The sequence below is a fragment of the Homo sapiens genome, chromosome 6, assembly GCF_000001405.40.
Source record: "Homo sapiens chromosome 6, GRCh38.p14 Primary Assembly".
NCBI classification, from domain to species: Eukaryota; Metazoa; Chordata; class Mammalia; order Primates; family Hominidae; genus Homo; species Homo sapiens.
In genome coordinates, this window is record NC_000006.12 from 25444629 (window position 1) to 25463433 (window position 18805).

At 38.4% G+C, this 18805-nt stretch overlaps 1 protein-coding gene and 1 long non-coding RNA gene across 21 annotated transcripts in view, besides 1 other annotated feature; one reads left to right on the forward strand and one right to left on the reverse strand.

The window, feature by feature from the left end:
* Window positions 1–7562, reverse strand: part of LOC124901281 (uncharacterized) — a 124485-nt gene extending 116923 nt beyond the window's left edge. The window contains exon 1 of the long non-coding RNA XR_007059511.1: window positions 7409–7562. This is a non-coding gene — a long non-coding RNA (uncharacterized LOC124901281). The remainder of the gene's footprint in view (window positions 1–7408) is intronic.
* The window catches only part of CARMIL1 (capping protein regulator and myosin 1 linker 1), a 341157-nt gene that overhangs the window by 165255 nt on the left and 157097 nt on the right, over window positions 1–18805 (forward strand). For all 20 annotated transcript variants that reach the window (XM_017011008.2, XM_017011009.2, XM_017011015.2 and 17 more), the window contains 3 exons: window positions 5270–5367; window positions 5711–5781; window positions 6010–6083. In XM_017011008.2, the coding sequence (XP_016866497.1) occupies window positions 5270–5367; window positions 5711–5781; window positions 6010–6083 (243 nt within the window). The remainder of the gene's footprint in view (window positions 1–5269; window positions 5368–5710; window positions 5782–6009; window positions 6084–18805) is intronic.
* Window positions 17816–18352: an enhancer, noted in NCBI's record as "NANOG hESC enhancer chr6:25462672-25463208 (GRCh37/hg19 assembly coordinates)". NCBI's record gives its function as "activates a minimal SCP1, AML or CMV promoter by ChIP-STARR-seq in naive H9 embryonic stem cells {active_cell/tissue: H9 hESC(naive)}" and the evidence as "EXISTENCE:reporter gene assay evidence [ECO:0000049][PMID:30033119]".

An 18805-nucleotide genomic window follows, 5' to 3' on the forward strand; every position in this document is an offset into this window, starting at 1 on the left:
TTTTCTGTCCTTGTGATAGTTTGCTGAGAATGATGGTTTCCAGCCTCATCCATGTCCCTGCAAAGGACATGAATTCATCCTTTTTTATGGCAGCATAGTATTCCATGGAGTATATGCACTACATTTTCTTAATCCAGTCTATCATTGATGGACATCTGGTATGGTTCCAAGTCTTTGCTATTGTGAATAGTGCTGCAATAAACATACATGTGCATGTGTCTTTATAGTAGCAGGATTTATAATCCTTTGGGTATATACCCAGTAATGGGATTGCTGGGTCAAATGGTAATTCTAGTTCTAGATCCTTGAGGAATCGCCACACTGTCTTCCACAATGGTTGAACTACTTTACACTCCCACCAACAGTGTAAAAGTGTTCCTATTTCTCCACATCCTCTCCAGCATCTGTTGTTCCCTGACTTTTTAATGATTGCCATTCTAACTGGCGTGAGATGGTATCTCATTGTGGTTTTGCCTTGCATTTCTCTGATGACCAGCATGTTCACAGTATCTTTATCAGAAGTAGATTCCATCTCAAGAAACTTCTTTCTTTGCTCATCCATAAGAAGCAACTTCTCATTTGTTAAAAGTTTTTTCGTGGATTACAACAATTCATTCACATTTTCAGGCTCCACTTTTAATTCTAATTCTATTGCTGTTTTCACCATATCTGCAGTTACTTCCTCCACTAAACTCTTATACCCTTCAAGGTCATCCATGAGGTTTGGAATCAACTTTTTTGGAACTCCTGTTGATGTTGATATTTTGACCTCTTCCCGTGAGTCATGAATGTTCTCAATGGCATCTATGATGGTGATTTTTTTCTGAAGGTTTTCAATTTACTTTGCCCAGATGCATCAGAGGAATCACTATCTATGGCTGCTTATATTGCCTTACAAAATATATTTCTTTTTTTTTTTTTTTTGAGTTGTTGTCTTGCTCAGTTACCCAGGCTGGAGTGCAGTGGCGTGATCTCGGCTCACTGCAAGCTCCGCCTCCCAGGTTCATGCCATTCTCCTGTCTCAGCCTTCCGAGTAACTGGGACTACAGGTGCCCGCCACCAGGTCCGGCTAATTTTTTTTTTGTATTTTTAGTAGAGATGGGGTTTCACCATGTTAGCCGGGATGGTCTCGATCTCCTGACCTCGTGATCCACACGCCTCGGCTGGGATTACAGACACAAAATATATTTCTTAATAAGACTTGAAAGTCAAACCTATTCCTGGATCCATGGGCTGCAGAATGGATATTGAATTAGTAGGCATGAAAACAACATGGATTTTTTTGTACTTCTCCATCAGAACTCTTGTGTGGCCAGGTGCATTGTTAATGAGCAGTAACATTTTGACAGGAATCTCTTTTTCTGAGCAGTAGGTCTCAACAGTGGGCTTAAAATATTCAGTAAACCATTCTGTAAATAGATCTGCTATCACCCAGGCTTTCTTGTTCTATTGTGGAGTGCAAGCAGGGAGATTTAGCATCATTCTTAAGGGCCTTGGGTTTTTGGAATGGAACATCAGCACTGATTGGCCTCAACTTAGAGTCACCAGCTGCATTAGCCACTAACAAGAGAGGCAGCCTGTCCTTTGAAGCTTTGAAGCCTGCCATTGACTTCTCCCTAGCTAAGAAAGTGCTAGATGACATCTTCTTCCAGTAGGAGGCTCTTTCATCTACATTGAAAATCAGTTGTTTAGTGTAGCCATCTTCATCAATGATCTTAACTATATCTTCTGGATAACTTGCTTCAGCTTCTTCATCAGCACTTGCTCCTTCATCTTGTACTTTTACGTTATGGAGACAACTTTCCTTAAACCTCATGAACCAACGTTTGGTAGCTTCCAACTTCAGCTTCCTCCCCTCTCTCAGCCTTGATAGAATTGAAGAGAGTTAAAGCCTTGTTCTGGATTAGGCTTTGGCATAGGGAATGTTTCATTCCAGACCACTAAAACTTTCTGCATCTCAGGGATAAAGTTGTTTCACTTTCTCATCATTCACATGTTCATGGAAGTAGCGCTTTTAACTTCCTTCAATAACTTTTCCTTTGCATTTGCAATTTTGCTAATTTTTTTGTTGCAAAAGGCCTAATTTTTAGCCTGTCTTGGCTTTCCATGTGCCTTTCTCACTAAGCTTGTTTCTAGCTTTTGATTTAAAATGAGAGATGTGCGACTATTCCTTTTACTTGAACACTTAGAGGCCATTGCAGGGTTATTAATTGGCCTAATTTCAATATTGTTGTGTCTCAAGTAATGGGCTTGGTGAAAGGGAGAGACAGAGAGGAATGGTTGTCAGTGGAGCAGTGAGATCACACACACTTTTAAGTAGCTAAGTTTGCTGTCTTATATGGGTGTGATTCATGGTCCCCCAAAATAGTTACAATAGTAACATCAAAGATCACTGATCACGTCACCAAAACAGATATTATAATAATGAGGAAGTTTGAGATATTGTGAGAATTACCAGAATGTGGCACAGAGACAGGAAGTGAGCACATGCTGTTGGAAAAATGGCACTGATAGATTTGCTTAATGCAAGGTTGCCACAAAGCTTCAATTGGCAAAAAATGCAATACCTGTGAGTATAATACAATAAAATGAGGTATGTCGGAACCTGATTATGTCTTAGTCATAAAACTTACAAAGAAGTAGGAGGAATATTTTCCATGCCAACAGAATGTATTTAAATGATTTGATATGTATTTGAGGTTTTCTCTAGGAGTAGAACAACCCAACCAGGCAACCTCCCAGGCCCTAGCATATTTTATCTGGAATACATCCATTCAATCAGAAAATGTAAATAACTGGGAACATTTTCTTCCAGTCTCTGCAAGGTGATGGAAATTCATAAGAATGACTGAGAGCATTGTATGTAGCAGAGTGCCTTGAAATCATTAAAGATGAAACTATATTCAATACAAGTTAATATATTTATTTCACCACCTCTCACCCACGTCCTGTCATGGTACTGGGTGACTGACACCCTGACACCCTTCCTCACAGCTCATGACCTCTTCACCTCTACCCTACTTCCACTTGCTTTTGTGGCCACATGACCTTGTCATCTCCTGGAACAGCTTATTCCATGGTGAAAAAACAGCCCTCCCCCTCTGACTACAGCCTTTCACTTCCTCTCCCCTGGAAGTACCAGTATTTGGACTTTTTCAAGGCCTCCAGACTGGGGGTGGCTTGGCTTTCTCTTCTTCTGCCACCCCCATCCTGCCTTCCTGTCCATTCTTAACTGCTCAGCCCACAACATCCATGACTTCACCTAGGCCTTGTCAGTATCCTCTGCTCCTTCTGTCCACACTGTTTTTCTGACACACCCACCTGGAAATCCTGCATCCTGCAGCAAGCCAGCTGCCCACCTCTCCATATACATTTTGGCTGCTGAGGGCTGCAGGAGGAAATCCCACAGCTATTTAGCCCTGAACCACCAAGAATCCATGATCTTCACTCTCAGCTGGACTCTTAACAGTCCTGGAAAGTTCTTTTTTATTTTTCAAGCTATGTTTTCTATTTCTCAATTTTGTAGAAAATTGAGAGCAAATACCTACACAGGCAGATATTTGTTCACAGTGCCCATCTAATCATCACGTACTCATCTGTTTACAGTCTGCCATGGCTCCTCATTGCCCTGAGAATAAAATCAAAATCCTTTTATTTGACCTGTGAGGCGCACCATGGCCTGGGATTTTGCCTTGCTCCCCAGATTCTTCTGTTACTCCTTTCTTTATCACACATCATTTGCCAACTATTTTGAACTAGATTGAATTTCTGGTAAGCATGGGCTTTCTCATCTTTGGGGGTGTGCTGTTCCTTTATCTGAAACACTTTCCTGGCCCCTAGCTCACACCTCCTCTCACCATGCTTCACCTGATTGTCTCTTTTTGCCCTCCTGTGGGTCTTAGCAGAGATATATTTTATACCAAAGAGCATTTCCAACTCCCTACGTCCCACCTCTTCTCCTCACCAGGGAATAAGCTAAGTGCCCCTTCTTTGCCCTCGCTTTCGCCCTGAACTTTCCTTGTGTTAGTTCTCTTCCACTAGTGCCTGGTTATTCGTCTGTTTCTCACAGTAGACTGCTAGCTTTGCGAGGGCAGGGGCAGCATCTGTGTTTAATCATGGTTGTATGCCTGGTACCTGGTTTTGGGTCTTGGCACTCTGTAGATCTTTCATAAAAATTTTTTGAGTGAATTAATGAATTCATAAACTATTCATTAAATGATTACTCTGTGATAACTAATGACAGTATCAGTTAACATATATTGACATTACCACACACCAGGGATTCTTCTTTTTTTTTTTTTTTTTGGAGAGTCTCCCTCTGTCACCTAGGTTGGAGTGCAGTGGTGCAATCTAACTGCAGCCTCTACCTCCCATGCTCAAGCAATCCTCAGCCTCCTGAGTGGCTGGGACTATAGGCACATACTACCACACCTGGCTAATTTTTGTATAGATGGTGTTTCGTCACATTGCCCAGGCTGGCCTTGAATTCCTGGGCTCAAGTAATCGCCTGCCTTGGCCTCCCAAAGTGCTGGAATTACAGGCTCAGCCCTGGGGGGGTTATTCTAATAACTTGATAGGTACTATTATCATTTTTTCTCACAATAACCCTATGGGATAACATCTCAGAAACTGACAAATTCAGAAATGTGTCAGTTCCTGAAAAAGGAAACTTTGGGATGGTTGGCTGTACTTTTAACCACTACTCTGTCTTGTCTCTGCATGTGTGGGCATGAACTTTGTTAGGTTCTGAGGAGGAGGATGGGGGGTTGGGAGGAGCTGCATATGTTCTCTGCCCCAGAAGAATCATGGCCCAGGGGAAGAGGTAGCAAAAGGAACAACTATTCCAGTATGACTTGATCAGTTTCTTGATGGACATGTGTGCAAGGCACTATAGAAGGACAGAAGAGATTTTTACTTTAATTAATTGAAAATTAGTAATTTATATTTGGTATATACGTAATCTAATAATTCATTAAGTGGAGCAACTTTTCAAACTATTCTAACAAAATCTAACATTATAAAACTATAACATGGAGACTGCATTGCTAAATACCTTTCATCTACAAAGGAAAGTTATAGGGATTTATTATGTTTTCTAGATTTCTAGCTCTCTAGTGCTCAAAAAAATTGAAAATTGAAAAATTGAAGAAAAACTGAAATTGAAGTGACCCTCATCTTTGTTGAAGAAAAAGGAATGTGACAAAATTTATTTCTATGTGCAGTCAAAAAGTGTGGTTTGTGAAATGTGTTGTTGTTGTTGATCTTACAGGAGAATCATGAAAAAAGTCTCCATGGAGCCATCTGAGCGCCTGGCTAGTCTCCAGGCGCTGTGGGACAGCCAGACCGTGGCTGAGCAGGGCCCCTGTGGTGAGCATGCATTTTAAAACTGAAATGTGAATAGCTGGATGGATATCCCCCTGCCAGGAAGTTAAGTCTATTCCTAGTGTGCTACTGTAAAGGTGCAATTAGTTTCAAGGTGTAATTAGCAGCGCACAGACTTTAGATTGGTGGACAAAAGTCCTATATTTAAGCTGTATTGCATCCTGCTATGTACTTACTATAGAACAGGGAGGAGAATCTTTGCTGTTTTCCCCCCTAAAAAGGAAAAGGATAATCAGCATTGTCAACATCGGCCATATTTAAGCTTTAAAATTTTAATTTAAACATCATTTTGCCAAAGACCTGTCAGTGTTTTTGTTGTATGTTTCAGGTGGATTTTCTCAGATGTATGCCTGTGTTTGTGACTGGCTTGGATTTTCATACAGGGAAGAAGTACAATGGGTAAGAATGTCTGTGTACATGTGCATGAGCACACACACTCCTGGAGAATATTCTAATGTTTGGCTGGCTTGTTTTTCTTTTTTTCCCTTCATTTATTTTTCACTTAAAATCTTCACTTCTCAGATTACATAAAAACCTGCCATTGTCATTGTCTAATTCTCACTGTCTCTCTTGCTTTCCTGGTCATCTGCATGGACTGATGACATGACTGAATTATATTTCAAATAGGATGTGGATACAATTTATCTTACCCAAGACACCAGGGAATTGAATTTACAAGATTTTAGTCATCTTGACCACAGGTAAGCTGCTTCCTTCCTTCTTTCCTCCTTTCCTCCCTCCCTTCCTCCCTCCCTTCCTCCCTCCCCTCCCTCCCTTCCTCCCTCCCTTCCTCCCTCCCCTCCCCTCCCCTTCCCTCCCCTTCCCTCCCCTCCCCTTCCCTCCCCTCCCTTCCCTTCCCTTCTCTTTTCTCTTTTTTCTTTTCTTTTCTTTTTTCTTTTCCTTCTCCTCTCCTCTCCTCTCCTCTCCTCTCCTCTCCTCTCCTCTCCTCTCCTCTCTTCTCTTCTCCTCTCCCCCTCCCCTCTCCCCTCTCCCCTCTCCCCTCTCCCCTCTCTTCTCTTTCCTGCAGTTCTCTGTTGGCACTTAGGGCTGTACATTATCTCCAAAGAATTGTTTTATAAGAGGAATCAGTACAATCTAAGAATCTCTAGATTTTTGCCTTTCAAGTTATAGTTTCAAATATGTTTATCACTGTGGATGACTTGTGGAGGTCCACAGTGCATGTGTGTATCCAAAATCCAGAGTTCGTAGTTAGAAAATGTGCTGAATTTTACCATAAAAACAGTATAATTCTTAGGTTCTTATGTCAGCCTACAAAAGTCTGTCTATTCTACCCTGTCTATAAAATGTAGTATTATTTTACCTAATTGCCATTTAGAACATTTTTTCAAGGATGAACTTTAATACTGAAATTCTGAGATATGACTTTTAGTTCAGAGTTTATGAATTGGGCATTGGTAGGGTGTATATGTGTATGTTGGTGAAAATCAGTTTGCCAGTATCTGCCATGTGATAGTGATAATAAAGTCATGAAACCTGTTACAAGTTATTTGAGAAACTTTTAGGTTTAAGATCTTGACTTGAATATATTTAGGGCTATGGCTTGTGAGATTCAGACCTCAGAGAAAAGCTTCATTTTTCCCCATGTCTCTTAGCACAGCAGACCTGGCAAATTTATTTTGCTCTCTAACAGTCGAGCCCGGCCCTATTCCAGAGTGTCTGGTAATTTATCTTGGCCTATCCCAATCTCTTCAATTCTGGATGTGCTGCTACTTATTAGTAGCAGGGGTAGCAGGGGTCAGCCCTACTTAATAAACTCCAGCCCTACTTAATAAATTAGTAGCAGGTAGGCAGGGGTCAGCCCTACTTAATAAACTCCAACCCAATAAATCTTTTCTCTCTGATTGGAATTGGGAGAGAAATCTGGGATTCCAGCTATATCATTTGTGCCATTTGGACAACTGAAGTGTCACAGAGGATTGTTGTTGCCCATATGTCATCTCATCACTAGCATCTTGCCCCCCCCTCCCCCCCCCAGAATACTGTTTTGAATTATTTTTCCACCTACCTGGCAGGAAATCCAGAATTGCAGTGTGGTCCCTGAAGAGCTCTAGCCAACTGAATCGGCCAGGGAAAAAGTATACTAGCTGGATATACCTCCTCTTTGCACAGCCTGGGACTACGGAAGATGGTGAAGCAGGCTCAGCTGTGTCTGTAGTTGTGGCTGATGGGCCTAAAGCCTCCAGTTCTCAGGCAATTTTTTTTTTTTCCTGCTTAGAGCAGTTCTCCTTCTTCCTATAAGTGAGGCAACTTTATACTTTCAAATTTAGACAAGATGTTTCCTGTGTAGCTCATAAAAAAGTGAACTGAGAAAGAAAAAGGGAAAATATTTTACTTTGTAAGTATTTTCCAATAAAACAAGAAAATTGCACGTGGAATAAGATAGAAGTTTACAGTCCTCCAGTGTTTGGTCTCAGCGTTTTTGGTCCCTTTACAATCTTAAAAATGATCGATCTTTGGTTTTTGTGGGTCAAAACATTGGTATTTACAATATTATAAATTAAAACTAAAATTTGAAATATTTATTAATTAAAAAGTGACACTAATAAAGCAAACCATTACGTACTAACATAGGTACTGTTTTTATGAAAAAGTAAATATATTTTCCAAAACAAAAATAAATCAGCAAGAAGAGTGGCATTGGCTTATCTTTTTGCAGATCTTTTTAATGTTTGACTTAATAGAAGACAAGTGGATGCTCATATCTACTTCTGCATTCACAAAATTGTGATATGTTGTTTTGACTGAAGTATGAAAAGAAAATCCAGCCTTAAAGATGTGTAGTTAGGAAGTATTTTCAATAGCCTTTTCACATAATTGTGGCTATTCTTCCTTGGTACTTCACCAAAACTCAACAAGTGGTGGTTTCTTAAAGATAAGTTGCAATGTAGAATCAGAACCATATCAATGAACTTTTTTGTATTTTGTTACATTAAAGTCTGTTTGGTCTATCTTCTCCTTTGACTGGGTCTTATCCATACATAATTTTGTAGCATTGTACATTGGTAACTTAGAAAATATTGGTTCATTGAGTTATACATAGCTTTCAAGTATCTTCCTCTTGTATAATAGCAAAAGAAAAAAGAAAGACATTTCATAACTATCATCACTGATATTATAAAAGTTTTTTGAAGTACTTCAGAGGTGTTGAGCTCATAGTAGCAGACAAAAGTTTTCCAAAATTTAAATTTTTGCTTGAAAGATACAATTTTACTATTGGAAAAAAAAAAACAAACATATTATCAGGTGAAGTGATATCTTGAAGTGACCAGATTACTTCTTAGATTTTAGAGGGAATGTCTACCAAATCCCAAATCTAAATAACTATACGTTGTCATTTTTTTGTGATAGTCCACTGAAAAAAAGGAGCTGGTTCTGCTTAAAAATGCAACTATCACACAAACACTTTACATTGAGACAGTGATCCCTTTGATATATAGAGGAACATACTTCCCATTTTGAACTTACTTCTCATTCTGTTACACAGGATATTAAAATGTTTGTACTCAAGAGCTAAAATTTAATAAAATGAGTAATGTTTACTGCTTCACTGAGGACATTCTAAAATGAAATTGATGTTTGTTTAAAAAACTAGGAGCTTGTGCCAGTGAAGACTCCCGCCTTGGCTTGTGCTCAGGTGCTAGCAGTTTTCCCCACCATTGCTTTTGCACCTTCCATGCAAAGGGCAACACAGTGAAAGGATAAGTTTGTTTTAGAGTTGTTATGAAAACGATTTTGAACCTGTGAACCTCCTGAATGAATCTCAGGGTCCCCAAGGGTAAATCCTTGGAGAACATCTGGCCTACGGGAGTGAAGACACTGTAGGGCAGCTTGAGGCGTTTTTTTTGGACTTACTTTATTATGCCATAATGATTTTTATAGCATTGATAGGTATGTATAGGGTCAGTGCTAAACTTTTCAGCTAATCCACCATGTTTAATTTGGTCTCATCCACCAACTAACCCACCACGTTTAATTAACCTGTCAGCAAAGGGAAACTATATTTAAATAAGCCACTAAATACAGTTACCTGAAATATGTAGCAAGAGAAATTTGTCAAACCTTTTAGAAAAATTATTTACTAATTCCTTAGTTGGAGAATTTTCAGTTCATCAGTAAAGACTGAATTAGTGGGGTAGACCCAAATCATCTACTTTTCTTGCTTAATTAAGGGGCTGGAAGGACATTTGTCATTATTGAGACTCTAGTGGAGGATTTGGAAAACTTTTTTTTTGTCAAGGACCAGATAGTAAATATTTTAGACTTTATGAGTCAGACAGTTGCTGTTGCAATTATACAATTCCACTGTGGTAGCTTGAAAGCAGACCTAGACAATGTATGAATGAGTATTGCTATGTTCTGATAAAACTGTATTTGCACAGATAGGTGTCACGGGCTGTAGTCTGCTGATACCTGCTCTAGATCAGCCACCTCTAATGTGGAATGTATGTACCTAGAGAAAAATCCAAGATGGGCTACAAAAAAGTAGTGGAACTTTATATTATTGACTTATTTTAATATTTCTCCTTGTTTTATGATATGTGTATAAATATTACTATGGTAGTCTTTGGAATGCAATAACTAAATATTAAAAAATAGATGGTATTCAAAACAATTTTTTACTGTTTTTTTTACTAGTCTTACTATTAAAATTAGAGCCAGGTTATATATATGAAGAGACTGTTCTCAGTCCTTTTAGATGGGCTTTGATAGTATTTTGCTAATTGAATTACAACAAATTTTATTGGCTGATTATTTCGATGTAGTAGAAGCTTCAACATGCTAATTCATGAAAGTATCAGTCTGCACTTAAATGGTACAGTTGTAGGATTCATTGTGGCATAAGTTGATGTGATGTGTGTGGGTTATTCTCTTACCTCTACTGGTATTTTCCTCATTGAGGTGTGAGTTATGGAGAGGAGGAATTAGAAAATTTGGAGGTGTCAGAAAAGACATCAAATGGGCTATGTGTTGAGCTGGAGTTTGTTAGCAAATATGGGGAGTCATTCTCATATGTATACATGAATTTTCCCACTGTGATGGTTGGTTCCTATGTTCCCTATTTGAACATATTTGAACATATGTCCCCTATTTGAACATAATTCAGATACAAGCAAGCAACCTTGTTTGCCATTTATATTTATTAAAATTAGATTCTGCATGCATTTGTATGTCGAGATCTGTGAACTTCATATTACAGCTAGAGAAAGCTGTACTTGTTTCAGAGTCAATAAGAAAGCTCTCCTGACTGGCCATCATCCAAAGCTTTATTTTTTCATTCCACTTTTTCTCGCCGTTATATTTAGTCTTCATACTTAGAAACATCCATTTGTAACAGTCCTTAAAACCATCAGTGCTTCTGGAATGGAAATTCAGTGAGGGCCAGGCTGTGTCTGTCTTGCTTATGCTCTGTGATGTGATACTCTACAGTCAAACCATAGTCCCAGAATAAAGGATTTTTAAGGGATGGTGAGTGATCTGCTCTGGTGGAGCAAATTAGAATCCTGCGAGCTAGGATTATTTCTAGAAAGCCTGCCAGATTACTTAAATATTGTCTACCACCCTGCTCCAGTTGGCAGTTATAGCTTTAATGACATTCTTAACCCAATTTTGTTTGAAGCCATGGCTAAATTCTATCTGGATTCTTACACGGTTCCATTTGTTTCTTTTAGTTTACTCATCCAGGTCATTATTTTTTTCTGCCTAGAAGTTTGTAACTGCCATTTTCCCAGGACCATTTCAGATTCAAAGCCGGGGATTTTAGTCATGGGAGAGGCACTGATGTTAATGTCACAGGTCTGAGAGGATGAAACATGGCCTTGGCAGCTTGCTCATCTGAAGCACAGAGATGGAGGAAGCAACATTCTGTCTGTGTGGGAACCCATCACCACACGTGAGACATGGTTTTAGAAGGTCCAGGTATGGTGACAGGGCAGTGCCTTGGTCATTGTTCTGTCACCAAGAGCCCCTACTACTGTCCTCACCCCTCTGATTTGCCTAGGATCTGCTCTTCTTCAGACATAGGCCCCGTGTTAGGACACTGTGCCCCTTATATCATGTGATCTGTAGCCACAGGAACTGAAGGATGGAGAGGCATGTGCATCGTCCTGTCCTGGGGCTGCTTTATCAGTTATCCAGCCTGCTGTTCTCTTTTCATTGTGGACTTGGCTTCCTATTTCTATATATCTTGCTACTGCACTAAAACCCGTAAGATCTATATAGGTGCTTCATGGTAATTTGTAAGCAATTTGAATGTTGTGATAATGTTTTCTTATTTATTTACTATGGTTCTATCAGAACTGAATCTAGGACCAGTCCCTCTGTTGTTGCTGAATAAGCATTCAGGAATAAGGATGACAGTGATCATGCTAGATCTAGCCAGTTAGTCTCTGGAGAACAGTAATTAGGAAGTACTTGGAAAAATGCCCACTCCAGTTGTTATTTGTAAAATGTCCAGTTGGCATTTTATTTAAGTATATTCTTTCAATTTGTTCTGTTTTAGGTTATCAGTAGGCCAAAAAAAGGCATAGATTGAAAATTTGTTGTAAATTTCTCATGGGATTTCTCGAAGGTCTGTGAGCTGACATGTTAAAAAATTTAATTACACTGTAATTTGGAGTGGTAGGGAATTATGAAGGTAGAGGTACTTACTGGTGCCAAGAAGAAGAAAATATATAGCTTTAACTACATCGATTTCTCGTGTTCCTGACAGATTTTTAAGAGGAGCTAATCCCATCAATTCTTTGAAGACTCAATGACATGCATCATTGAGCTTCAACTTGGCTCACAAGAGTCCAGGCAACAGATTCATGCTTTTTTGTGTTGTCATATTTCTTACTGATCAGGGTGACATTCTTGAGTGTGATACTATCAGGAAAGAGTTCTGAGTGTGGATTATGTTTGCCAAGGTTGTCCTAAGGACACTGCTGTCATTTTTTCCTAATCAAAGCTCCATTTTTTTTTTTTTTTTAATTCCTGGTCTCATTTATAAAAGCATTGCTGTTTGGAGAGTGGAATCAGATGTGAACAGCATTGGCTTCTGTTTTCATTCCTGAATTTCTCGAAATAGTTCTGTAGAAGAATGGTCCTCAACCTGGGTGACATGAACTCTGTGGGGTGAACAAGATGATGATATGTTGGGGATGTGACGTTAATAGTAGAACTTGATTTTTGTCTATTTTTTTCTCATTCATTTTATTTATGCATGTGTGTATGTTTTGTGCTGAGCTTAATATGTTAGTGCTGTAGTACATGTATATGATTTATAGATTAACACATTTTTTAGAGGGGAGGATATGCAAAATTCTTTGCTGTTGGGGATGAATGATCAAAAAATATAGAGACCACTCATTTAGGCCTCTAGGAATGTCCTCATCTGGGAACTGTTTTAGGTATTTACATCCTTCCCAGAGTTGGTGAGTGGTTCCGCTAATAATTTAATAATATACAAGACATGTCTCTATATAAGTTAGGATAGCAGGAGGGAATAGCTAATTTGTGACATTCTTAACTTTTTAAAGCACTCCAACTCCCATATTCAAAGTAGATGGAATGGAGAAAAGTCTCAATTATTCCCAGAAAGGCTATCGAATGAATATGTCAGGAAATGATAATGCTAGGCTCTGAGTTTTACCAGCCGTTCCACGAGAGTGCATAATCCATTGTGTGCATGCATGGAGCATGAAGAGTGGCAGGGCTGTGCATTCTTGCATTAAAACACCTCCTTTGAGCCTTTAAATGTTTATAAGATTTGTGAGAGGGAAATCTTCACTCCTGTGGTAGGTGGATATACTAAGAATAATCATGATGTTGTTCATTGAATTACTGCTCTCTCTATTTGTGCTTTTCTCACATTGCAGGTTGTAGGGCTTGCTAGATGTCCTTCACATCCATGAATTATTTTTGTTCTTTAACACTTTCCTGGTATACTTAACACTGTCTATTTAAAAGTCACAGTGTTCTTAAAATTTCAGAGAGATGGCAGGCAGGGGAAAGGGAGTAAGGAGGGAAATTAGTACTGATAATAATAACTAGGAAAATTAAATTCTTATAGTCATACAGATCAGAAAGATGGTATCAGAACTAGGTAATCTAGGTTTAATAGGTTATCTAGAATGTAGAGTAGCGAAGAATTTGGCAAGAGATCTAGACTCTCAATCCCTTGTCAACTTCTTTGTTTTTGCATTTTAACTTTGTATTATAAAATAGCCCCCACATATTAGCAGTTTATTTTTGATGTTCAGAAAAAAAGAGGGCTGTACAATTGTGACTTCAGAATACATCTTAATGCTCCACTAAAAATACAAAAAATTAGCTGGGCGTGGTGGCACGTCGCCTGTAGCCCCAGCTCCTTGGGAGCCTGAGGCAGGAGAATTGCTTGAATCGGGTGGCGAGGTTGCAGTGAGCTGAGATCCACCACTGCACTCCAGCCTGGGTGACAGAGCGAGACTCTGTCTCAAAAAAAAAAAAAAAAAAAAAAAGCTTTAAAATCAGAAGCCAAATGATTGGTTAATTGTGATGGAAGGGATTTTCAGTCCTTTGATCTGAAAACCTGTGGATATACCATCCTGGTATATCCTCTGTAGAGTATACCTCTGTAGAGTATGAAGATTCTTTTGATGGTATGGAAGGCAAGTTAGTCATTGGTGAGATGACAGCACAGTGGTTAAGACACGGGATCATGAGTCACACTGGCTGGGTTTGAACCCTGGCTCTGCCTCAGCTAGCCTTGTAACCTTGCATATTTCAAACTTCCCTGTGCCTTTGGAATGTTCATCTGAAAATGGGGTTAATAATTATACCTCTCTTCTGGGGTAATTATGAAGACTGTATGGATAAATATATTTAAAGCGCTTTGTGTTAGTACATAAAAATGTTATAAATGCTTGCTATTTTCATATGCTTAAAGGTCTTCCTTTTTTTTAAATGAACAATTATCTAACATGACAAGTTTTCTTAATTGAAAAGAAAAATAAAGTTAGAAAATCCTTATGTTACAGAAAATTTTGGATTTCCTGAGACTAGTTCATGGATTTTTTTCTGTGATGCTCTTATTTTATCAGTTTTATGATGGCTTTTTCTTCTGGAAAGATATAAGAGAAAAACTTGATTCTTTAGAGTTTTAAGGGAAGGTTTCGATTATTCTGAAGTGTCAACTGACATAGAAATAAGGATCCCAACTTTTTCTTTCTTTCTTTCTTTCTTTCTTTCTTTCTTTCTTTCTTTCTTTCTTTCTTTCTTTTTTTTTTTTTTAAGACAGGGTCTTGCTGTATTACCCAGCCTTGACCTCCTGGGCTTAGTTGATCCTCCCACTTCATTCTCAGTAGCTGGGACTACAGGCATGTACCACCATGCCTGGCTGATTTTTATATTTTTAATGTTTTACATTTTATTTATGATTTATTTGTAAAGATGGGATTTCACCATGTTGCCCAGCTGGTCATGAACTCCTGGGCAAAAGCTATCCACCTGCCTCAGCTTCCCAAGGTGCTGGGATTACAGGTGTGAGTCACCATACCTGACCTGGATCCCAACATTTTTTATACTCCCCAACCAGTGATTAGACTAATAACAAAACCAAAAAAACTCTATGTGTAGTAAATTTACATCAGGAAAAAGGTTAGTGAATATTAACTGTCTCATATCTCTTCAGTGTTGTGTAAGAAATGATTGTGCCACGTGGCTCTAAAAGATGTTAATACTGGATCCTTCTCCTCAAGGTTTGTAGTCTTAAGATGTTTTTGCTACCATTTTAAGGAAATGGTAGAAGTAATGTTTGGAAATGTACAGGAGAATGCAATGTTGCCATGTTGCCAGGACTCATGAGAGGGTTCCCTCAACTGTTACAACTCCTTTTAAGGCTGACTTTACTTTTCAGATCAAAGGTTACATCATAATTAGGAGTTTCTTAGGATGTCAAAGCAAAACACAGTGGGGGATGTACAATAAATGTCATGGACTGGTGATGGTAAAAAGCTGTTACCACTTCCAACTAAGAGAAATCAGTTAATATGACAATGGCTGATGTTTGGAAACCTTTCCCCTTATGTCAATTAATTGCATGAGCACTTAGTGAAAACACGAGGAAGGATCTGTCCTGCCATAAACTCCACCAGGGAAAATCAGGTAGTCCTTTGCAGTGAGTTGGTATCAGCACAGCAGTAGGGAGGCCCATGCAAATGTCAAATTAAATATTTATTCATGATCTGCTTATGTGCTCACTTATTACTGTGTCCTAAGAAAGCCATCCAGGAAAATGAACTCTCAGAAATGAGATTAGTTACATACTGTCTTGTGTATTTTGTATTTTCTGTTAAAATGAGACCTCATCAGAGTCTTGATTATTACTGGTTCCATAATTTTTTTATTATATGCAAACTTGTTTGTCCCATGCAGGCCTGAGTCTCCCTGATCCTTGGTCTTCATGTTTGTTCTGGCTGTCATGGTGGCTTGATGCCCAGAAAGTAATGAATTCTAGGGGTCCTGAATGTCACTCTACACTAGACCTTGCTTCTTACATAAAGCGTTTGCTGAAGTACTTCCTAGGCACTTGGTCTTACACTGTAAGCTCCTCATTCTCAGCATATTGCAGCCAGGCTGAGAGGTATTAAGGATCTAAGAAATTGAGGTTTTACATGTTGGTATGTGTAGCTATAATTTATTAACTTCTGTTTCTATTTCATATTCTAATGTATGAACATTCCATAATTTATCCATTCTAGTGAATGTTGGTCAGACATTTTGGTTAGTGTATTGTCTGTTATCTGTAATGCTGCTAAGGCCATCCTTGTACTTGTCTCCTTAGAGAAAAGTATGCAGATGTGTACTAGGATGGAAATCATTGTAAATTTAACCACTTATGTCCACCATTTAACACAAGAAATAGGCTACTGCCTCTCCTTAAAAGACTTACATGTATCAATTTTCAATCACCGTTCCCTCCTTCTCCGCTTGCCCCACCTGGTTATAATAATGATCCCAGTAATCTTTGTGTTCCTTTATAGTTTTATCACAAAAGTATGCCTATTTTGATTGGCATTGCATTACATCTCTAAATCAATTTGGAAAAAACTACTATTTTGCATTGGCCCTTGTTCTAGCCTCTGAACCCACCTTCTGCCTTAGACTCCTTCCATATCTCTGATACATCATGTCTACATTGTAGAGACTGTTACCTTGCCTCTGATACCTCCCACTGATATTGCAGAAATTAACTTTCTGAAACATTTCTGTTCGAAAGTTTTCTACGACTACCTTGCGTGCATGAAGTCATGCCTCCTAAGTGTAGCTTTCAAGCCTCATTTCTAAGTGCTAAGTGTTCTGGTTATCTATTGCTATGTAACAAAGCCCCTCAAACTTAATGGCCACAGCAAGAACAGTCAGGAGTCACAATGAAGAGTTCCTCATTCACGTGTTTGGTGCTTGATGCTGGCTGGCTGCTGCAAGGCAGCACTGGGTTCCATGGGTGAGCTTTCCATGAGAGAGAGCTGGGTAGAAACTGTATTAATATTACCTCTTCTAATCTAGCCTTGACAGTCCTGTAGTTTGAAGGACATCTGTGTTGTTTTTAGTTTCTGGTAATTATGAACATAGCTCTTAAAAATAAATAATTATCTACATTTTTATGTGAACATAAATTTTGATTTTTCTTGGGGAATTTCCTAGAAATGGGATTGCTGGATCAGATGTCAAGTATCTGTTAAACCTAATAAGATGCTGTCAAACTGTTTTCCCCATTGAGTGTATCATTTTGCATCCTCATTGGCTCCATTTGAGAGTTCCAGTTGCTCTGGGTCCTTATTAGCAATTGGTATTGTCAGGTTTTTTTAAATTTATTTTTTCTCTTTTTTAAACCGTGCATCTCTTTTTGGTTTTTCCCTAATGCATTTTTCTAATGCTACTAATTGTGAGCATCCTTTCATGTGCTTATTTGCTATACATATATCTTATTTAGTGAAGTGTCTGTTTAGATCTTTTGCTCATTTAAAAAAATGGGGTGATTGTTTTTTATTTTTGATAGTTCTTTATGCATTTTGGATACAATTCCTTTTTCAGAAATGGGATTTGTAAATATTTTCTGTCAGCATGTGGCTTATCTTTTTCTTCTCTTGACATCTTTTGTAGAGCAAAAGTTTTTAATTTTGAATAAAGTCCAGTTTATCGATTTTTTTATTTTTGTATTTTGCTTTTCGAAGATCTAAAAACTCTTAGACTAAGCCATACCTTACTCTGTTGCCTGTTTCTTCTGCTTATAATATGTGTCTCATCCCACTCCCTCATCTCTGAGGGCTCAGTAACATCCTCTTTCTCAACTTGGTTGTCTTGATTAGCACCCCTTTTATATGCACACATAGTATTTTGTATTCCCCCTACCTCACTAGGGCTTGTTTCACTGTGTTATAGCTGCTTTTCCTTCCTGAGTCTCCTGCTAGGCTGTGCCAGGCCATCAGGGCAGGGACCATTTTCTATGTTCATTTTTGCATCAGGCCCAGTGATTCATGCATGATGGCGGCATTTGTTGAACATAAGAATGAATGGAATTGCTGGATATGCTCAGGTTCCCCATGCTGTTGTACGTGCTATTCCTAATTTCTTAAAATACTCTTTCTCCCTGGCTGGTTGGTTTCCTTCTGATCTTTTAAGCCGGTGAGCCATTCCCCATTTACTTCAGGCCGAATTACTTGCTGTCCTGCTGTGCTCTTAGGGCTTTTTGTTTGTTTGTTTTTTAACATTTTCCCTATTCAGCAAGTCTCTCGTCTTTCGTTGTATTACAGATAGTTGAGAAGGGGTTTTTCTTTACCAGTGAAGTGCGATAGAGGAATAAGAGCTACACTTCTTTTTCATCTCTTAGCTCTCAGAGCCTAATAACCCTGCCTAGTACTAAGGACTAAATAAATATCTGCTGAATATGATATGTCATTGTCTCCTTCTAATTGTTTTTTTAACATAAGAAGCCTAGGCATTAACACAATTTAGAGAAACATGGTAGGCAAACCATGCCAATATGCTTAGTCTCCATCCTCCTCATGAATAACTTTTTCTAGAGCAAAAGTTTGTTTATATCATCCATGGAAGATTTAATCTTGTAAAACAGATTATGAATATGAATCATAGAACAATTTAAAAACATAATAATTTTGTTAGAAGACATTAATATCACCTTGAATGCTAACAAGGTATCCTTATGACATTTGGCTATATTTCTTTCTTTTTTTAAGAAAAGTCTATATTTGTTAGCATTTATATCTTTTTTTATATGTAGATTTTATTAATCCCAATTATATATTATATCACACAGATGTTCACTTTAGAATGCTGTATACCTTAAAAATTTAATATTGAACCATAAGCATTTTTGGTGTTGAGTATTGTGGTATGTAGAGATGATGCTGTTTTACTCACTGCA